At 46.5% G+C, this 18,329-nt stretch overlaps 1 protein-coding gene across 8 annotated transcripts in view, besides 2 other annotated features; it reads left to right on the forward strand.

The window, feature by feature from the left end:
* Positions 1-18,329, forward strand: part of SORCS2 (sortilin related VPS10 domain containing receptor 2) — a 550,290-nt gene that overhangs the window by 373,640 nt on the left and 158,321 nt on the right. The gene's annotated exons all lie outside the window — the stretch shown is intronic.
* Positions 4,231-4,784: an enhancer, noted in NCBI's record as "H3K4me1 hESC enhancer chr4:7572135-7572688 (GRCh37/hg19 assembly coordinates)". NCBI's record gives its function as "activates a minimal SCP1, AML or CMV promoter by ChIP-STARR-seq in naive and primed H9 embryonic stem cells {active_cell/tissue: H9 hESC(naive and primed)}" and the evidence as "EXISTENCE:reporter gene assay evidence [ECO:0000049][PMID:30033119]".
* Positions 4,785-5,339: an enhancer, noted in NCBI's record as "H3K4me1 hESC enhancer chr4:7572689-7573243 (GRCh37/hg19 assembly coordinates)". NCBI's record gives its function as "activates a minimal SCP1, AML or CMV promoter by ChIP-STARR-seq in primed H9 embryonic stem cells {active_cell/tissue: H9 hESC(primed)}" and the evidence as "EXISTENCE:reporter gene assay evidence [ECO:0000049][PMID:30033119]".

Below are 18,329 nucleotides of genomic sequence, written 5' to 3' on the forward strand. Positions count from 1 at the left end.
AGTGATATTGATAATGGTGATGGTGATGGTGGTGATGATGACAGAGATGATGATAATGTGTTAATGGTGATGGTGATGATAGTGATAATGGTGATAGAGATGATGATAATGTGTTAATGGTGATGGTGATGATGGTGATAATGGTGATGGTGATGATGTGATGATGAGGTGATGATGATGATGATGACTCTGCTACTGCTGCTGCTGAAGATGAAGATGACGGATTGATGATGAAGATAGTGATGGCCATCACAGTTAATATTTACTGAGCCTCTAATGGATGCCACATAACATTCTTATTTTTACCACCACTTTACAGATGAGGAAACTGACTATCAGAGGCCACACAGCAGGTTAGAGTTGGAATAATTCATACCAGCTGCAGTGACAAGCAAAACCCCAAATCTCAGTTGTTCAACACAACACAAGATCACTTCTCACTCAGGGAAGCCCCAGGCCTGTGGGTGGTCCCCCCTTTGGCTTGGAGGAGACACTCTGGTTCTGAGCTCCCTTAGGAAGTGACGTGCATTGCTCTTGCTCACAGCCAACTGGCTAGAGCTAGTCACATGGCCTGGCTTACCTTAGTGGATGCTGGGAAATGCAGAGGGGGCACATGGGTATCTGGTGAATGCTTACAACTGGCTAGAGCTAGTCACATGGCCTGTCTTACCTTAGTGGATGCTGGGAAATGCAGAGGGGGCACATGGGTATCTGGTGAATGCTTACAACTGGCTAGAGCTAGTCACATGGCCTGGCTTACCTTAGTGGATGCTGGGAAATGCAGAGGGGGCACATGAGTATTGGGTGAGTGCTCTCTGTCACCCAGTTAGGAAGGACCTGAACTTAGATTTGGACATAGGTCTACTGACTCCAACACCCCTATTTATTTTTGTATTTATTTTTCAAGTGCATTTTAAAATAGTTTAAAATTTTATAACTGTTTTAGGTTTACAGAAAACCTGTGAAGGTAGTATAGAGTTCCTATATCCCTTGCCCACAATTTCCTGTTATTAACATCTGACATTGGTATGTACATTTGTCATGACTAAGGAACCAATATGGATGCGTTAATGTTACAAGTGCAAACTGTATTCAGATTTCCTTAGTCTTTACCTAATGCCTTCATCGATCTCAGGATCCCACCCAGGACTCCACGTTACATGTAGTCATTATGTCTGCTTCGGCTCCGCCTGGCTGTGACAGTTTCTCAGACTTCCCTTGTTTGTGATAACTTTGACATTTTTGAAGAGTGCTGGTCAGGTGTTTTTTAAAGAATGTTCCTCTGTTGGAATTTGTATAGTGTTTTCCTCATGATTGCACTGGGATTATTCCTGGGAGGAAGACCACAGAGGTGCAGTGCTGTCCCCATCGCATCACACCAAGGCCACACCCTGCCAACAGGACTTACCACTGTTGACACTGACCCTTGTCACTGGCTGAGGGATGTTTGCCAGGCTTCTCCACCATAGAGTTTCTCTTTGGCGCCCTTTGCACACTGCCCTCTTTGGAAGAAGGTTGCTATGGGCAGCCCATGTTTAAGGAGTGAGTCTCCCTCCCCTTGAGAGCAGAGGACCTGCATAAATTATTTGGAATTCCTCTGCATGGGAGGTGTGTCTCTTCCCCCCATTTATTTATTTAATCATGTATTTATATGAGGATGAACTCATGAATATTTATTTTCTCCTTTCAGCTATAATCCAATAGTACCTTATTTTATTGTTTAAGCCATTCCAGCTTTGGTCATTGGGAGCACTTTCAGTTGGCTGCTGTGTCTCTTTGACATATTCCGATCACTGTAATTTTTATTTTGTTTATGAGCACGTCCTTGCTTTCTGGCGCTACAAGATGCTCCAGGCTCATCTGATATATTTCCTACCCAGTCCAAGCATCAACCATTTCTCCAAGGAGCTCTGACTGCTTTTATTGGAGAATGGTATTAGAAACCAAGGTCAAGATGCTAGGCAACATCCCTAATTATCCCCACTACACCAGAGGTTCCAAAACTTTCTCAGCTCACAGTGCCCTTCGTGGCTCAAAAATCTTTCACAGCACACCTAGGCCAAACAAGAAACAACAGCAACAACCAAAACCTAAAAGCTTCACTTGTGAAGCAATTAGGTTCAAACAAGTTAGCAAGTATCTATGTCCTAATAGCATAAGTATTTATGTCCTGATACCTAATAGCGTAGGTATTCTTTTAAAATGGTACACATAAATCAAAAGGAAAATAGTGTTTTTCTTTCATTCTTCACCACTGCTTAATGACAGGCTGTGCACTTGCGATGTGCTACATACTCTCTCCAGACCTTGGAACCAGACTCAGTTAGATGCTTCCATCCTCATTTCATGTTCCACATTGATTTTCCTTTTTATCACAGCGACCACCAAAAACCTGACTTTGCAAAGAGTTGGTATCACTGAGAGGGATGTGGCATGATCTAAGGTGGAAACCGTGAACAACCTGACTGGTAATTGGTGCAGGATCCAAGAAATGTTGGTCACTGTGTTTCCCTCAAAAACTTAAAATATCCCACCAGGTTCCTGTGAGTTGACTATGGCTAGGATGCTCAACCCACAGTTTGGGAACCATAGTGCTATCCAGTAGAAGTCTATTGCAATTACAAGGTAGTGGGAAGGAATTCCGTGGAAAGTGACTGATCTAGTTCATCTCTTCCCGTAGGGGTCAGAGATGAGCATGGCACAAGATGTAAACCATTCCTAGGCCTATTCCTCAGAATCTCAAAGGTGGTATGGGAACAGCTCCCCAAGGCTGGACTCTACCTTGGCTCAGAACTCCCACCTCACCTCTCTTGGATCTGTGTCAACTCCTGCCATCCTATCAGGGATCTGTGTTTCTTGGGGATGTCTGTATCAGTAGCTGTGTGGCAAGCTACAGGAGCTCTGGAAGCTGCTTCCATTTCCAGGGTGTTTTCCAGGACTGTGCCATTGCTGTTGCCCAGCTCTTGGGCCACCTCCCAGGCAGAAGTGATTACGGCAGGAAGTGAGAGGTGAGAAGGCCTGTGCCTTGAAGAGCCTTTAGAAATATCCACAGAGGCTGGGTGTGGTGGCTCATGCCTGTAATCCCAGCACTTTGGGAGGCTGAGGTGGGCAGATCACAAGGTCAGGAGTTTGAGACCAGCCTGGCCAACATGGTGAAACCCCGTCTCTACTAAAGATACAAAAAATTAGCTGGGCATGGTGGGGCACACCTGTAATCCCAGCTACTTGGGAGGCTGGGGCAGGAGAATTGCTTGAACCTGGGAGGCGGAGGTTGCGGTGAGCTGAGATCGCATTACTTCACTCCAGCCTGGGGGACAGACAGGGCAAGACTCCGTCGCAAAAAAGAAAAAAGAAATATCTACAGAAGGAGGAGGATAGTGCTGTGTGTGTACAATATGCCCATTTTACAATAGCCTATCCTATGTGCAGAGAACATGTGTGTGTGGAGGGCACGGGTGCAGATGCTCCGTGACTTCGCCATGGGTTTATCAGGACGTGGAATCATAAGTCCAGCCACCACAGGGCGGGGCCGTCTGCATATGGGTGCACGTCTTCTCTACACATATAATACAACATGTACATGTATACACAACACACGTCTGATGAATGCAGTGAGGTGCAGTGTGAAATAGATGCTTCTGCAAAACTGTGAGGCACTAAGTGTCCTCAGCCCAAATAAATGTCCTTCGGAGCCACTGGGTGGATGTGGCCTCTCCGGAACTTCCTCCTCCCCACCCCTGTGGATGTGGCTTTTAGAGACACTCAGGGCTGCTCTGGTAGCGGCTGGATGAGGTGCTTTGTTCTTCAGCTCTCCTGGGCAGGGGACGAGGGCTCCCAGCGTTTTCAAGGGGAGGAGATGCAATCCACTGCAGCTGAGAGCAGGGCCCCCATAAATCGGATCCTGGCTCTAAATGCTAATTGCTTGGTCTAAGGTGTTATTGATAGAGCCGGAGAGGGGAGCGAGGAGATTCATTATTTTGGATTTCAGTGGCTGCGGAGGGGAGGGTAGTGAGTGATGGATTAGAACGCAGCCCGTCTGCTGTGGAGTTCCGATTTATAGGCCCATAAAGCAGAGGCCGGTGGAGCCCAGGCACAGGCAGGCCGCTGAGCCTGTGTCCCACTTTGTACTCACAGCCTCGAGGCAACCTCCACTCATGACGGTGCCTCCTCGCTAGGGCCTCCTGGGACGCAGACCCTCCCACTCCCGCTGCCAGAGGCTGCTTCCGGGTGGGCCCTGTCACTAGTCACTGAGGGTTCGCTGGGTGCTCTGCCCTGCAGGCTGGAGGCGCCCCCAGCAGCTAACAGGACCTTGGTGTGTGTCCCCATCTGCATGTCACTGTTTTCAAAGGGAAGCCAATCTGCTCCCACCTGCCTCCCACACCGCCCTGTAGATCCGCCACCCTGCATAGAGGGCGGTGCCCATGGAAATGGGAGGTGGGGCCCAGGGTTGAAGTGAGAGTGCCCAGGGAGGCATTGTGACTTGGAAAGTGGCTTCCTGGTTCTGCTTTTGTCCCCTTCCCTCCCTGCCAGACCCCATCTGCCATGTCCTGTCAGCAAGCCTTTTCATCTCCAGGAACCCCCAGTTCTCATCCAGAGGGGAGGGTTTTAATCAGTGCCCGAAGCCAGGGTCCAGGCCTCAACTATTGGCAGGGGATGGGGGTGGGAGGGTGACAGCTATGAATTTGAGAAAATAACACCATGAGTTCATTGTCATCCAACAAGCTGGGGGAGGGGCCGAGTCTCCTGGCTGTTGGCTTTGCTGTTCTGCCCCTTTTCCAGCCCATGGCAGCCCAGGGAGACTTCAGAGGCGCAGCCACTCTCCAAGGAAATCCCTGCCTGTGGCTTTAGTGAGAACCCCATCACACTGTCCCCATCTCCCCAGCTGGAGCGTCCTGGATTTAGTAAAATAAGCAGTTACAGCAGCCCCCAGCCCTGGACACCTCTCATGCTGGTGTTTGTTCAAGAAACAGAAAGAATGCAGTGAACCTGGGCAGCATTTACTCGTTAGGTTTTTCCGCAGATGCTCTCTGCGCATCGCCCCTGGGCCAAGCCTTGTATTGGGTGCTGCAACCACAGAGTCTAGCCAGACATGGCCCAGCCTTAGCAGAGGGCTGGCTGGAGAAGCAGGACCCCTGTGCCCGGTGGAGAAGAAGGGAAAGGGCATCCTGGGTGGTGGGTATGACAAGGGCAAAGACTCAGAGGTGGGAAACCACATGGCAGGACCCTGGATGGGTTGGGGACGGGAAATTGAGTTCACTCCCCCAGTGTTTGATGAGAATAGCTCTGGCCATGCCCCGTGTGGGTGGGGTAGACTCAGGGGATGAGATGAGGGACCCGCAAAATTCTACCTGGGCAGTCCCGTGGGACTACTATGAGAAATGGAAAGTGGGTCATGGAAGGCTTCCTGGAGGAGGTGACAGTGGGCAGAGGTGGTCTGCCCATTCCCTGAGCAAGTGGAGGAGGGCTGAGGCAGGGACTGGGGCCGAGAGGGAGGGAGCCCGAAGAAATTGGGGGCCTGTGCTAGCAGAGCATGTCACCAGGAAAAGGGGCCAAGGCCAGCAGCTTCAAAGCCTCAGCACCAAGCGACGTTGAATTATGGACGTCATTCAGTGTTAATCATGGTGATTATCATCAGCGATGAAAAAGGACAAACACATCCCAGTAACAAGTCCAGCTCGTTAGCTTCCTGGGACTTGTCGACCCCCCTCGCGGTGCCAGAGCTGACACTTAGCTGCTGACAGTGTCATCCGCTCAACTCAGCAAACGTGCCCTACCAGCTGCCTGTCCTCCAGGCACCAGGCTCCATCCTGGGCCTGCAGGAAGAACCTGACAGTCTGTGCTTTGCCCCTACGTATGTCTGGGGGCAGCTGCTGGGTTTGATCAAAGCATCCTCATCTTCTCTCTGCCATCTCATGCTCCGTGAAATTCAAGCAGCCTCCTGGTCTTGAAGCTCCTCAGTTCCCTGTGAGCTGGGTCTTCCTTGGGGCCAAATATACAAGGTGCAAGACAATAGCACAGGGCGTCCAAAGCTGAGGCTGAGGCCCCAAGCTTTTTCAGTCACTTTCCCCATTACTAAAAAATATGGGATATGCACCCCTACTGTTTCTTTATTTACATATATATATATGATATTAACATACTCTGCTAGTATAATCTTTGTAAACATACACACAGTTTACACATTTTTTTAAATGAGCTCAAGATGAAATCATTTAATCATTTACGTTTAATCATTTAAACGTAAGTTTCTTTACGTGAATTTTTTTTGGAATTTAAACTGTAATATTAAGGCATATTAGTGAGAGCAATAAGATATTCAACACTGTCTTGTTTTTTGAGAACTTTCATTCTTTGTGCTACAGCAAGACTTAGCCCATGTTAGTTTGCTTCAATACTTGATGCTCGTGGCCTTCAAAGATGAAAAGCATTCTGCACAAAGATGTGTAGGGTATGTGGGAGGAAGGGCTTGTTACCATCACTTCCTAAATCATCAGCATCATTTTTCAATTTCATTTAACAGGACTGCAAAATTTTATGTTGAAGTTCAGCTGCTACAGCTCCATCAATTGTCAATCAATTTTCTTGCAAACTCACTGAAAGGTGTTGCATTTTTAATGTTTTTAACACATTGGCTAACACATCTGAAGCCCCTTGGTTTGGAAGACTTTTAAAGAGGTTAAGAAATTTTTATTTCCAGGATTTTAAGGACTGCACGTTTGAGAGATTTTATAAGCGACGGACAACATTTCATAACATTGGAAATATTTCCAAACATCCATTTCTAAAGTGCCCCGTCATAGTCTAAATCCCTTTGGAAAGGAGAGCTTTTTCTCACTTATTATCAAAGTGGCTGTTGATCTTGAATGGACAAGCTGCGTGTGTTGCTGCTTTTTGAAAATGTAAGGTGAGTGGCAGACATGAGAACAGCCTGCCTTCAATTCCCATTCAGAACTTGCGTCTTTTGGTAAAAGAAAAATGCGCAATCCACCTTTGAGTTCAACAGCTCTTGAAAGCATATTGTTTATAAGATACTCCTCCAACTTCAACAAGCACACAAGATCCCTGCGGCATGATATCCAACTCATTTCAAAAGTCTCCTATTGAAAGGTGTTGTCTTCATAAAATTAGCCACTCCAGAGACATCCCTTTGCATACAAATGTTGACAGGTCCCAGTGGCAAGACCTCGGTTACTGTGTGGCAATGCAGGTAGACGGTGCCAATGTCAGTCTGGTTCCTAAGTAAAAGTAAAGGCAAAGGTTTCCTTATTTTTCAGATAAAATAGAGGCATAAATAGAGTTCTATTAGTTTCTTGGTGTGTTCTGATTTTTTGTTTGTTTGTTTCTTGTTTTTTGTTTTTGAGACAGCATCTCGCTCTGTCGCCCAGGCTGAAGTGCAATGGTGCAATCTCGGCTCACTGCAACCTCTGCCTCCCAGGCTCAAGTGATTCTCCTGCCTCAGCCCCCTGAGTAGCTGGGATTACAGGCATGCACCACCGCACTCTGCTTTAAGGAATTAGGACAAAAGGAGGGGTGAAGGGGAAAAATCTTTACACAGCACATAGGACTAGGGGCCAGAGGCCAGAGCCCCTGCCAGGCTACTCCCCTTTGTGCATCTTTAGGGTACACAGTGGACCCTGTGGCTTCAGTCCTTAACTTCAGGGGCTCCCCATGCAGGGTGAATTTCAAGTGGCTGTCCTGCGCCCACTGCCTCCCTGGCCTCCTCGCTGTGCTTGGGAAGCAGCAGGCCCATTCCTGCTGGCACACGCGTCCACTCAGGGTACTTGGTCCCAGAAATCCTTGGCTCTTCCTGAATGTCACCTTCTCAGAAGGCAGCCCTTGTGCACCGTCTAGAACCGTCCCCTCCTCCTCGTTTCTCCTGAGCCCTTTGGCATTGCTTTATTCTCTTCACAGCATTTGTCATTTTAGAAATTGCCTTATTTGTATGTTTCCTTGTTCTCAGTCAGTTCCCCCCAGAAGCTCGAGCATCAGCTCAGAGAAGCGGGTTGGGTCCCGTGCGCCTTTGCGGCCCCAGGACGGGACTGTGTTCCCCACCCTCGGAGGTGAGGTGCAGCGAGGGTGTGGTCCCTTCTCCCACGGGATCACCTTGATGACTGGCTTCCCCTGTCACAGAGATGGACTGCAGTGAAGAGAGGTACTCCCTGAGAACAGCTTGCCTGTTTACAGCCAAGTGCATTTTTTAACATAGAAAACAGGGAGTTGTTTACAGCCATGTCTTAGAGAGTGATGACGTGTTCTTCCAGCTCTCGCCCCTGCCTTGCTTGGCATGGGATTGCCTGCCGTTTCAGCTACGTGTGTGTTATGCAGAATGTCAGGTCAGCGCAGCAGGTGGGACCATGCCTCGTTAAAGGAGAGAGACAGGGGGAAGGAGGAAGAGAGGGGAAGGAGGGAGGGAGAGAGGCAGGGAGGCAAGGAGGGAGGAAGGAAGGAAGGAGAGAAGGGAGGAAGGGAGGGAGAGAGAGGAGATGGCTGAGTATTTACTGAGGAATCAGAGTGAAAAATCATAAGGAAGTCACCAGGGCAGGGCCTTTTAGGTCAACCCCCATGAGCAGGAGGAAGGGCGGCTCCTCTGACTGCATCTGTGGGGCTGCCTCATTCATCTGAAAGATGCCGTGTGGCATGCTGTCCCCAGGGATGACTTGAGTGAAGGAGCCACTGAGCAAGGCCTCTGTGTCTGTTAGCCCAGCTCCTCTTTACACCGCCCATTCTGCAGGGCAGAAAAGTCGCCATGTCCCGACTCCTGGGCCCTCCTGCAAGAGCACTCCAGATGCCTGAGAGCCCCATTGTCTCACCTCAGTGAAGGGGACAGAGAGATATCTTCAGAATATGAGAGGGTCTCTGCTATGAGGACACTTGGTGAAGATCGGGGGACTGGCGGTGGGAGGACTGGGGCTCCACGTGGCCCTCTGGGCTTCATTGCCATAACCGGCATCCCTAGAACCTGGCCGCAGCCTGTTCAGTCCTCAGATGAGACTCTCCTCCTACTTCACCCATCCTGGCACTCTCTGGGCTCAGTTCCACAGAAATATACGAGCCGTGTGTGTAATTTTAATGTTCATTAACCCTATTCAAAAAGTAAGGAGAAACAGCCAAAGTTGATTTTAGCAGTATATTTTATTTAACCCAGTATATCCAAAATATTATCATGTCAACAAATAATTAATGTGAAAATTTTTGAGATCTTTTATGTCCTTTTTTCCATACTAAGCCTTTGAAATCCAGTGTATAATTTAGCTGCATCTATATGTATAGATGCATATAGCTCTGAATTCAACTGCTACATTTTTATTGGGAATTACTTGTTCTATATTTAGATTTCATAACATTGACAGTTGTAAAAGTAGGTTCACATACGCACATTGTTCCAAAGACACTTAAGTTTCGCAATAACAGTGCCAAGTATCAGTTTTTAAAATTAAATTTAAATTAATTGAAACTAGAATGGTAGTACCCCAGTCACACTTTGAAGGCTTGATGACCACACGTGGCTGGGAGCCGCTGGACTGGACACTTGCTCCTGTGTCCTTGTTTACCCATGGCTTAGTGCTGACCGGTGTGTTTACGCATCAGGATCAGAGAGGTTAACAGATGTTCTTGTTGTTTCTTCTTTTCCAAGTTGAACCCAGGAGAAGGTCTGTGTCTGGCTATGAGAGGTTTAGGGTCCAATATTTGTAGTGGGCGAAGGAAGGTGAATTATCTGTTGTTTCTGTTTCTGTTCAGTAATTTGACAACTGAATGATCTGAGTTCATAATTAAGAAATTAGTTTTTTGAAAGGGTCGGTTGATTCTTGAATTGATGAAGTTGGGACTGTCAGCTTTCTAGGAGATGTCACATATCAGTGAACAAACAAGACTTCAGCAACTGGTGCACAGCTGTGTGTGTGAGGACGAGGAAGAGCTCCAATGGCAGAGTGTTCTTAGAAAGCAGGATTAATTAGCGTGCGAGGGAGAGAAAGGTCAACACCACTAACATTCTCCTTCTGACCAAAGCCATGTGCTCAGCTGAATTGCTGTTCCAGCAAAGACAAAGCCATGTTTCCTGGCCCCGGGAGTCATCGGGAGGCGTGGGTTGGCTGTGTAAAGTCAAAAGTCAGTAGGGATCTACTAATGAGCAATTGCATCCTAAAGATAAGAGCACCCTTCCAGCAATCACTTTTAGAAGACCATTTTCAAAAATGAGCTGATTCCATTAACTAATAGCATATCTTTGGATTTAGGAAAAGAAAGCGATAGGAAACGACAAAGCAAGTCACAACAGCCATCGAGTGCCTGCTAGAGCCAAGCCCTGTGGGACTGAGAAGGGGTTGGATTCACCCCTGTGTGCATCTTACTACAAAAGGTGACATTTGTGTTGGGTATTGAGGAATGAATAGGAGTTGGCTGGGAAAAGACCCAAAGAGCTGGTGCTCAAAGGCCTGTTGATCTAAGACGTGGTGACAGAGGGACACATGTGGAAGGTGTGGACGTGGAGAGGTGGTGAGGGAGAATGGAATGTGGAAAACGAAGCTACTGTGGGCGGGGAGGTTCCTGGAATGCCATGGTAGGGGGTTGAGAGTCTGTCATAGACAGCAAAGGGCTGCCTGCTCAAGCGGCCACAGGGGCCAGACAGGTGCTGTAAGAACTGGAGCCAGCCTGGCTCATGGCACATGAACTCATGCGTGCCCCACCCAGCGGACCACAGCAACTCAGTTCTATTCAATTTTACCATCTGGAAATGGGGCCGGGTTATCGCAGTCTTCTGAGATTGCATGGGAAATGAGCAGGGTGGATATTCACGTGAAATGTCATGGTTGTTGAATCCCCATGAGGACAGATGTGGTCTTCTGGCCACCCCTCTGCCATGTTTATTAGAATTCGGCAAGGAGAGGTTTAGGCACAGTCCTGTCAGAGTTGAGTTCCTGTTTTAGAGAGATCACAGCTGCTGTGACAAGAACGCTCATGTGGAGGGTGTGAGCTGGAGGTGGGTCCACATAAGGGAGTGTGAGGTTTGTCCAGAGCAGGGAGGGGAGAGAGGATGAAACTGATGGAAATAAGGAGAGGGTTCCTTAAAGACATGGCACATCTCTCAGCACCAGTTCCCTGGTGGGGAGACAGGTGAAGGCAGGTGGGTAGACAGGTAAAGCCAGGTGGGCAGACAGGTGAAGTCAGGTGATACAGGTATAGTCAGGTGGGTGTACAGATGGAGTCATATAGCATACAGGCGAAGTCAGCTAGTGCCATGGTTTGGAGAAGTCATATAGCATACAGGCGAAGTCAGCTAGTGCCATGGTTTGGAGAAGTTATGTAGCATACAGGTGAAGTCAGCTAGTGCCATGGTTTGGAGAAGTTATATAGCATACAGGCGAAGTCAGCTAGTGGATGGTTTGGAGAAGTTATATAGCATACAGGCGAAGTCAGCTAGTGCCATGGTTTGGAGAAGTCATATAGCATACAGGCGAAGTCAGCTAGTGCCATGGTTTGGAGAAGTCATATAGCATACAGGTGAGGTCAGCTAGTGCCATGGTTTGGAGAAGTTATATAGCATACAGGCGAAGTCAGCTAGTGCCATGGTTTGGAGAAGTCATATAGCATACAGGTGAAGTCAGCTAGTGCCATGGTTTGGGGAAGTTATATAGCATACAGGCGAAGTCAGCTAGTGCCATTGTTTGGAGAAGTTATATAGCATATAGGCGAAGTCAGCTAGTGCCATGGTTTGGAGGTCATATAGCATACAGGCGAAGTCAGCTAGTGCCATGGTTTGGAGAAGTCATATAGCATACTGGCGAAGTCAGCTAGTGCCATGGTTTGGAGATTATTTGTCCCTGCCAAAACTCGTGTTGAAATTTGGTGACCAAAGTGGCCATGTTGGGAGGGAGGCCTAGTGGGAGATGTTAGGCTCATGAGGATGGATCCCTCATGAATAGATTAATGTCCTCTCAGGATTGAGTTCTTGCTCTCTCAGAACCAGATTGGTTACCACGAGAGCAGGTTGTACCTTTCATGTTTGGTCTCTTTGCGAACGATCATTTCTACTTCTATTTCCACCATGAGTTGAAGTAGCCTGAGACCCTTACCAGATGGGCTGCCTGATCTTGGATTTTCCAGTCACCATAATCATGAGCCAAATAAATCACTTTCCTTAATAAATTACCCGGTGTCAGATATTCTGTTTATGGCAACACAAAATGGACTAAGACAGGTGGGCAGACAGGTGAAGTCAGGTGGGCAAATGAAGGGACTCTTGACCTAAAGTCCTTTGAAAGTTTTTCTGGTCACCTGCCAGCAGCTCTTGTCTGTCCCTGTGAATTACAACCAAATTATCCATCACAATTACTTCCAGTTAATTTGTCCTGCTAAGCCTGAGCCAGTTGATGAGTTTCCTTAATTTTGATCATTTGCTCAAGGGAACGTTTACTTCTTTTACATGTAAAGTGTGTCTAATGGCAAACAAAGCCGAGAATGAGTGTTGAGTGCCTGCGCAGCTGGGGCAGGCCGCCTGGGCTGCAGTTCCAGTTTCATGACAGGCTTGTTCCCACCCCGACTTGACGGCTTTGACAGGTCACATGACCTCTCTGGGACTCAGTTTCCCCATCTGTAAAATAAAACACACGGAGGATTTGATCTTGTGGTTTCTCCCAGTTTTGGAATTCTACTCAATTTCATTTCTGCAAATGTTAGTGATTGAAACCTTTCTGTTTGCTGGATAGAAGCCCACCTTATCCCTAAGTTTACTACTTCTCACTACTTCCGAGGTCTGGCTGTGGGTGGATGTCAGGGAGCTTCCACTTGTCTTCCCATGATGCCCCCTGCACACAAGTCTGTGCATCTCACAGACTGGGATGTGTGAATGGGCAGATGGCTATAATTTCATTTCAGTATTTATGGAGGCTGGTAATGCCCACATGTCCTCTCTCTAGCTACCCCCAACACAAACCCATCAATCCCCAGACTCACACTTGGGGCTGCCTTGGTTCCTAGGCTATATCACATACTTTTGTGTTTCTTCAATGAGAAAGTCTCTTAATCTGTCGTTATTTTTCCCATCCATAAATAATGATGCATGGATCATTTTAATATATATTTGTATTATTATGATTATTTTAATTCTATTTCATAATAACCATATACTGAGTAGCTGAGTACCTACAAAATCCCATGCGCTGGGCTAGGCCACACCCACCCGTGTGTGTGTGTGCACGCACCTGTGTGCAATATCATCATAGTCTCACAGTATTAGGAGGTAGGTGTTATTAAATCCATGTATAGCTGAGCAAACTGAGGCTCAGAGAACTGATTCTCCCCCAAGATTCCATGGCCATCAAGTGGAGGAGCCAGGACTGGAACCCTCCCCTTGGTCCTCCGACCTCCTTTGGCTGCTCTCCTGGATTCTACTCATCTTGTAGGGCCTGGTCCAAGTATCCCTGAAGCCTCAGGGCCAGTAAGACATGGAATCAAGCCACTTCTGCTATCTTCTTTATCACTGACACTGAATGTACTTTCAGTGGGTGCTTGTTCTGCTCTGGGCCTTGTGTGAAGCATTCAGTGTGCAGAGGTGGATGAGATGTGTCCTGTGTTAAGGAGTCTGCCTTCTGTCAGAGATAAAAAACCTATGCACATCTGGGGCTCCTAGCACGTCAAGACACACAATGCCAGGAAATTATACACGTAGAAAGAAGTCTTCTACCTAGAGGGATCCAGGAAGGCTTCCTGGAAGCAGAGGCAACTGTGCTCACAGTTAAGAGCTGGCATGATGTGTTCATGCAGAGTGGAGTGAGTCCAGGCAGAGGGAAGGATGTGAGCATAGGCAAGGAAGTGGGGACATGCTTGGAGTCTGCAAGTAGATGTGTTTGTTTATGAGGGTATATAAATTGTAAATGGGTATTTGGCTAAAGCAATCACTGTACAGGCTATGTAGGCAAAACCCAGGCTTACTGCAAAACCTTTCCAATTCATATAGTAACTTGTCATTTTCTACACAAATAGATAATGCAATACTTTTATTAACTGATAGAAATTGCTTTGCACAAATGGGTGTGGTGGCTCATGCCTGTAATCCCAGCACTTTGGGAGACCAAGGGGGACAGTTAACTTGAGGCCAGGAGTTTGAGACCAGCCTGGCCAATGTGGTGAAACCCCATCTCTACTAAAAAGATGCAGAAAACAAAAATAGCTAAGCATGGTGGTGCACGTTTGTAATCCCAGCTACTCAGGAGGCTGAGCCATGAGAATCGCTTGAACCTGGGAGGCGGCGGTTGCAAAGAGCAGAGATCATGCCACCACACTCCAGCCTATGTGACACAGCAAGACTCAGAAAAAAAAAAAGGAAAAAGAAATTGTTTTGCATAGTGATCTACTTTTATACAAAGTATTTATTGGCCTTTTAAAATTCCTCTCACAGAAAGTTTCAGGGATATATTAATGGTAACAATATTCTTACAGTAACAACACTCCAAAAACAGTGTTTCACATCTACCTGTTTGGGAGCTACTATGGGCAGCAGCAAGCATCCCCTAAGAACAATGGAGCTGTCCTTGGGGGAGATGTGGGAAGAGTTTTGCAGGAGCAATGTGTGGCAAGAATATGAATCCTGAACCCTTGAGTAGGGAGAATTTCTTCCATCGTGTAAAAGTTAGACTAGTCAGAATGTGCATCTCAGTTTTAGGGGGTGAAAATCAATGGAGGAGTAAAAGTCTGACGAAAGTTTACTGGGAGGCCTCCCCCAAATTATAATAATAGATATGCCCTGGGATTATAATAATAGATATGCCCTGGGGTGTTTATTCTTTGTTTTATATACATTTTCTAAAATCCTTACAACAATCTTATAAGGAAGACATGATGTCATCATTTTACAGATGAGGAAACTGAGGCTCATAGAAGAAAGGTGGTTTGCCCAAGATTATGAAGCTAGAAAAGGTGCACCTGAGAAATGAAAAGTGATATGTCTAATTCAAAAACCTGCATATGTCCTTAATTTTTTTGAAAAAAAAAAAGCTACAATAAGTTTTTTAATGAAAAAGGAAAAAGGGTATTAAAACTATGTACAGAAAAATATAAATTATAATATAAATTCTAATTAATACATGAAAAGAGGCTCAGCCTCACTCTTAATGAAAAACAACTATGTGTCATTTTTACTTTTTACATTGGCAAAAAAATACTAAGATAAATAATAATAATATCCAGTTTGGTGAGGATATAAGGAAATGAGCATGCTTCTATTCATCTTATTGCATATATTGCTGTTATTTTTAAAATAAAAAGTCCATGGCCTTTTGATCACAGACCACAGTAGACCCCATCCCAGACAAAAATCAAGGCGTATGTTACGCATGTGGCTGCTATGACATCTGGGGTGGAGGAGGAGCCCCCGTTGTGAGTATGGTGGCAGGGGCGGGGGTACCTAACTGTAGCTAGGCCTGGTCATTTGAGGCCCAGCAAACTCCACCCAGGACAGGAGCCCTCACGCAGATTGGGTCTTGGCTGCTGTGGGTGCTGTCCGTGGTGCTGACCTAGCTACGCCTCTCAGGTTGCTTAGGGTCCCCCACAGCTCTAGCCCAGCCCTCTGTACACAGTGTGGACTCTTGCTGCCAGAAACCCGTCCAGAGTCTGGATGCTAGGCCCTAGCTCTGCCCCAGTGCTTGCTCATTAGAGACAACTAAAATATCAAAAAGCAGGTTACTCACCTGTAAATTTACCACCTAGAAATGGTGTTTTTAAATTTCTTAATATATCTCCTTCTTGTCTTTTTCTATATATCTTTATTTCATAGTCGAGACAATTTTATACTCTGAATTTTTATCATATAAGTATCTACCCACATTATCAGGAATGCTTTGTAAGCATCATTTTAATGGCTTCAAAATAGTCTATGATTTAGATAACGATGATTTGGCCATTTTTGTGGTCACCTACCACTTATTGGAGACATATTATATTCTGAGAATATTATGCCATTTATAGGCATTAATTCCAATATGCAAAAGAACTTTGAAATGAAGGCGTTATTATTCCCAATTTTACAGATGCTGAAACTGAAGCTCAGAGAGGTTAAGTTGCCCGAGGCCATACAGGACAATAGGGGCAAAGATGGTTTTGAATCAATGGATGTCTGACGACAAAGGCCATGATCTCACCACTGCACTGCACTGTCTCCTGAAGCCCTTTGTGTGAAATGATTAAATACATCATGATTATGTCACACTTCACTTACCCTTCTCCAGGTAGTTGAACATCTGGATGATTTTACATCGTCAAATACAAGGTTGTTAACAATTAAAGGATAAAACAGGGTGCGGCCGGAAAGGCGGCCGCCCCCTCGCCCATCATGCAATGCACATTCGTGGGGAACCTGGCGCTAAGCCATTCGTAGATGACCTGCTTCTGGCTCGGGGTTTCATATGTAGCAGAGCAGCTCCCTCGCTGCAATCTATTGAAAGTCAGCCCTCGACACAAGGGTTTGTAAAAAAATAAATAAATAAAACAAAAAACAAAAAAAAGCAATTAAAGGATATAAAAAATGAAGACCCCTGAGACATAATCAGTGTCTTGCAACCTCTTTCTCTATGGCCACACCACATCCAGCAAGAGCGTCTGCCCCTATTTGAATGCCTCCTTCCACCTGGGTCAGCCAGTTCCCTTAGCAGCCGTAGCAGCAATTTTAACCTGCAAGCAGCCTGATTGGCCCAGCTGGTCATGCCCACCCTGTCACTCATCACTGCCCTCTCTACTGATTGGCTTCTCTTGGGTCAGATCCCCACCCACCGTGGGCTTATTCCTTGAACACAGGGCTGTGGCTTCCTAGGACTTGGCACATAGTAGCTGTTCAATTCACATTTGTTGAAATGAAGAAAATTGGGTCAGCATTCCTTAGGACTTTGGCAAACGGGCTGAAACCCAAGTCTAGAAAATTGCCCAGAAAAGGCCCTGCCCAGGTCAGCCTGGGACAGCAGCCACCTCTGTGGGAGGAAGTGAGGGTTGCAAAAAGTTCTAGTACTTTGTCTTTCTGACCCCATTTCAGGTGCCTTCTAGTGCCTGAAAGAATTCCCAAGCATCCAGTGTTCCTTTTCTCATGAGCTTAAAGGCACCATTGGAAGGCATGCCCACTTTCGAGAGAGGGAAGATGTCACTGATGGTTTGCTCCAGAAAAGACCTTAAGGATCATGTATTCCAACCCCCCTACACTCCTGCTAGAAAAAAACCCTGGAGCTAAAACAGGAACTCAACTTACCGAAGTCATACCACCTCGTAATAATAAAGTAGGCCTCCCACCCAGGTTTATCCTCAGATATGGTTTGGCTGTGTCCCCACCCAAATCTCATCTTTAATTGTAGCTCCCATAATTCCCTCAAGTTGTGGGAGGGGCCCAGTGGGAGATAACTGAATCATGGGGGCAGTTTCCCCCATACTGTTCTCATGGTAGTGAATAAGTCTCACAAGATCTGATGGTTTTATGAGTGGAAACCCCTCTCACTTGGCTCTCATTCTTTCATCTGCTGCCACGTAAGATGTGCTTTTCACTTTCTGCCATGATTGTGAGGCTTCCCCAGCCACATGGAACTGTGAGTCCATTAAACCTCTTTTTCTTTATAAATTACCCAGTCTCTAGCATGTCTTCATCAGCAGCGTGAAAACAGACTAATACATATGAGCACTTTACACCCATGAAGCTCAAATGTGGTTCAGTTTTATTCCCAGCTTCAGCACAGCACAGAGAGCTTAGGTCTGGGGTCAGGAAGACCAGAGTCCTGCCTCTAATGTGCTACGTCTTATATGCAGCCTTTACCCCTTGTCTCAATTTCCTCATCTGTAAAACAGGATGAATAAGACCTGCTCCCAGAGGCTAGAACCTTTGAAGACTGAGATGATGCATGTGACTGTGTCTTGCGGACACTAACATAAGGTTTTATATGAGGACAGCATCTTCGTCTTCATTCACAGTCCACATGTTGGATCCTAATATAGAATCTGTTGCATAGCAGGTGTTCCATAAATGCTGGTTTGCTAAATCATTATTAGTAGTAGTAACAAATAATTGTCATGGATAAGAGGAAAGGAGTCCAAGAGCATGGGAATCCCAGTGGCCTCTGAGTTGGAGCAGGGAGGAAATGTGGATGAAACAGAGAGTTGGGAACCCCAGAGGCCCAGTTTCTTGACCCTACAGTTGGGTCTGTGCCCAGTACTGGCTGTGCTTTGGAAACTGAAAGAGTACATTTAAGAAAAAGTTGCTTCCATGATGGGCTGAAGGCACAGATACTCAGTAGACATTTAGGTCTAGAAAGGAACTTAGACACTCTCTAGTGAGACCCCTCCACCTCACAGGGAAGAAACCT

The sequence above is a fragment of the Homo sapiens genome, chromosome 4, assembly GCF_000001405.40.
Source record: "Homo sapiens chromosome 4, GRCh38.p14 Primary Assembly".
Taxonomy (NCBI): domain Eukaryota; kingdom Metazoa; phylum Chordata; class Mammalia; order Primates; family Hominidae; genus Homo; species Homo sapiens.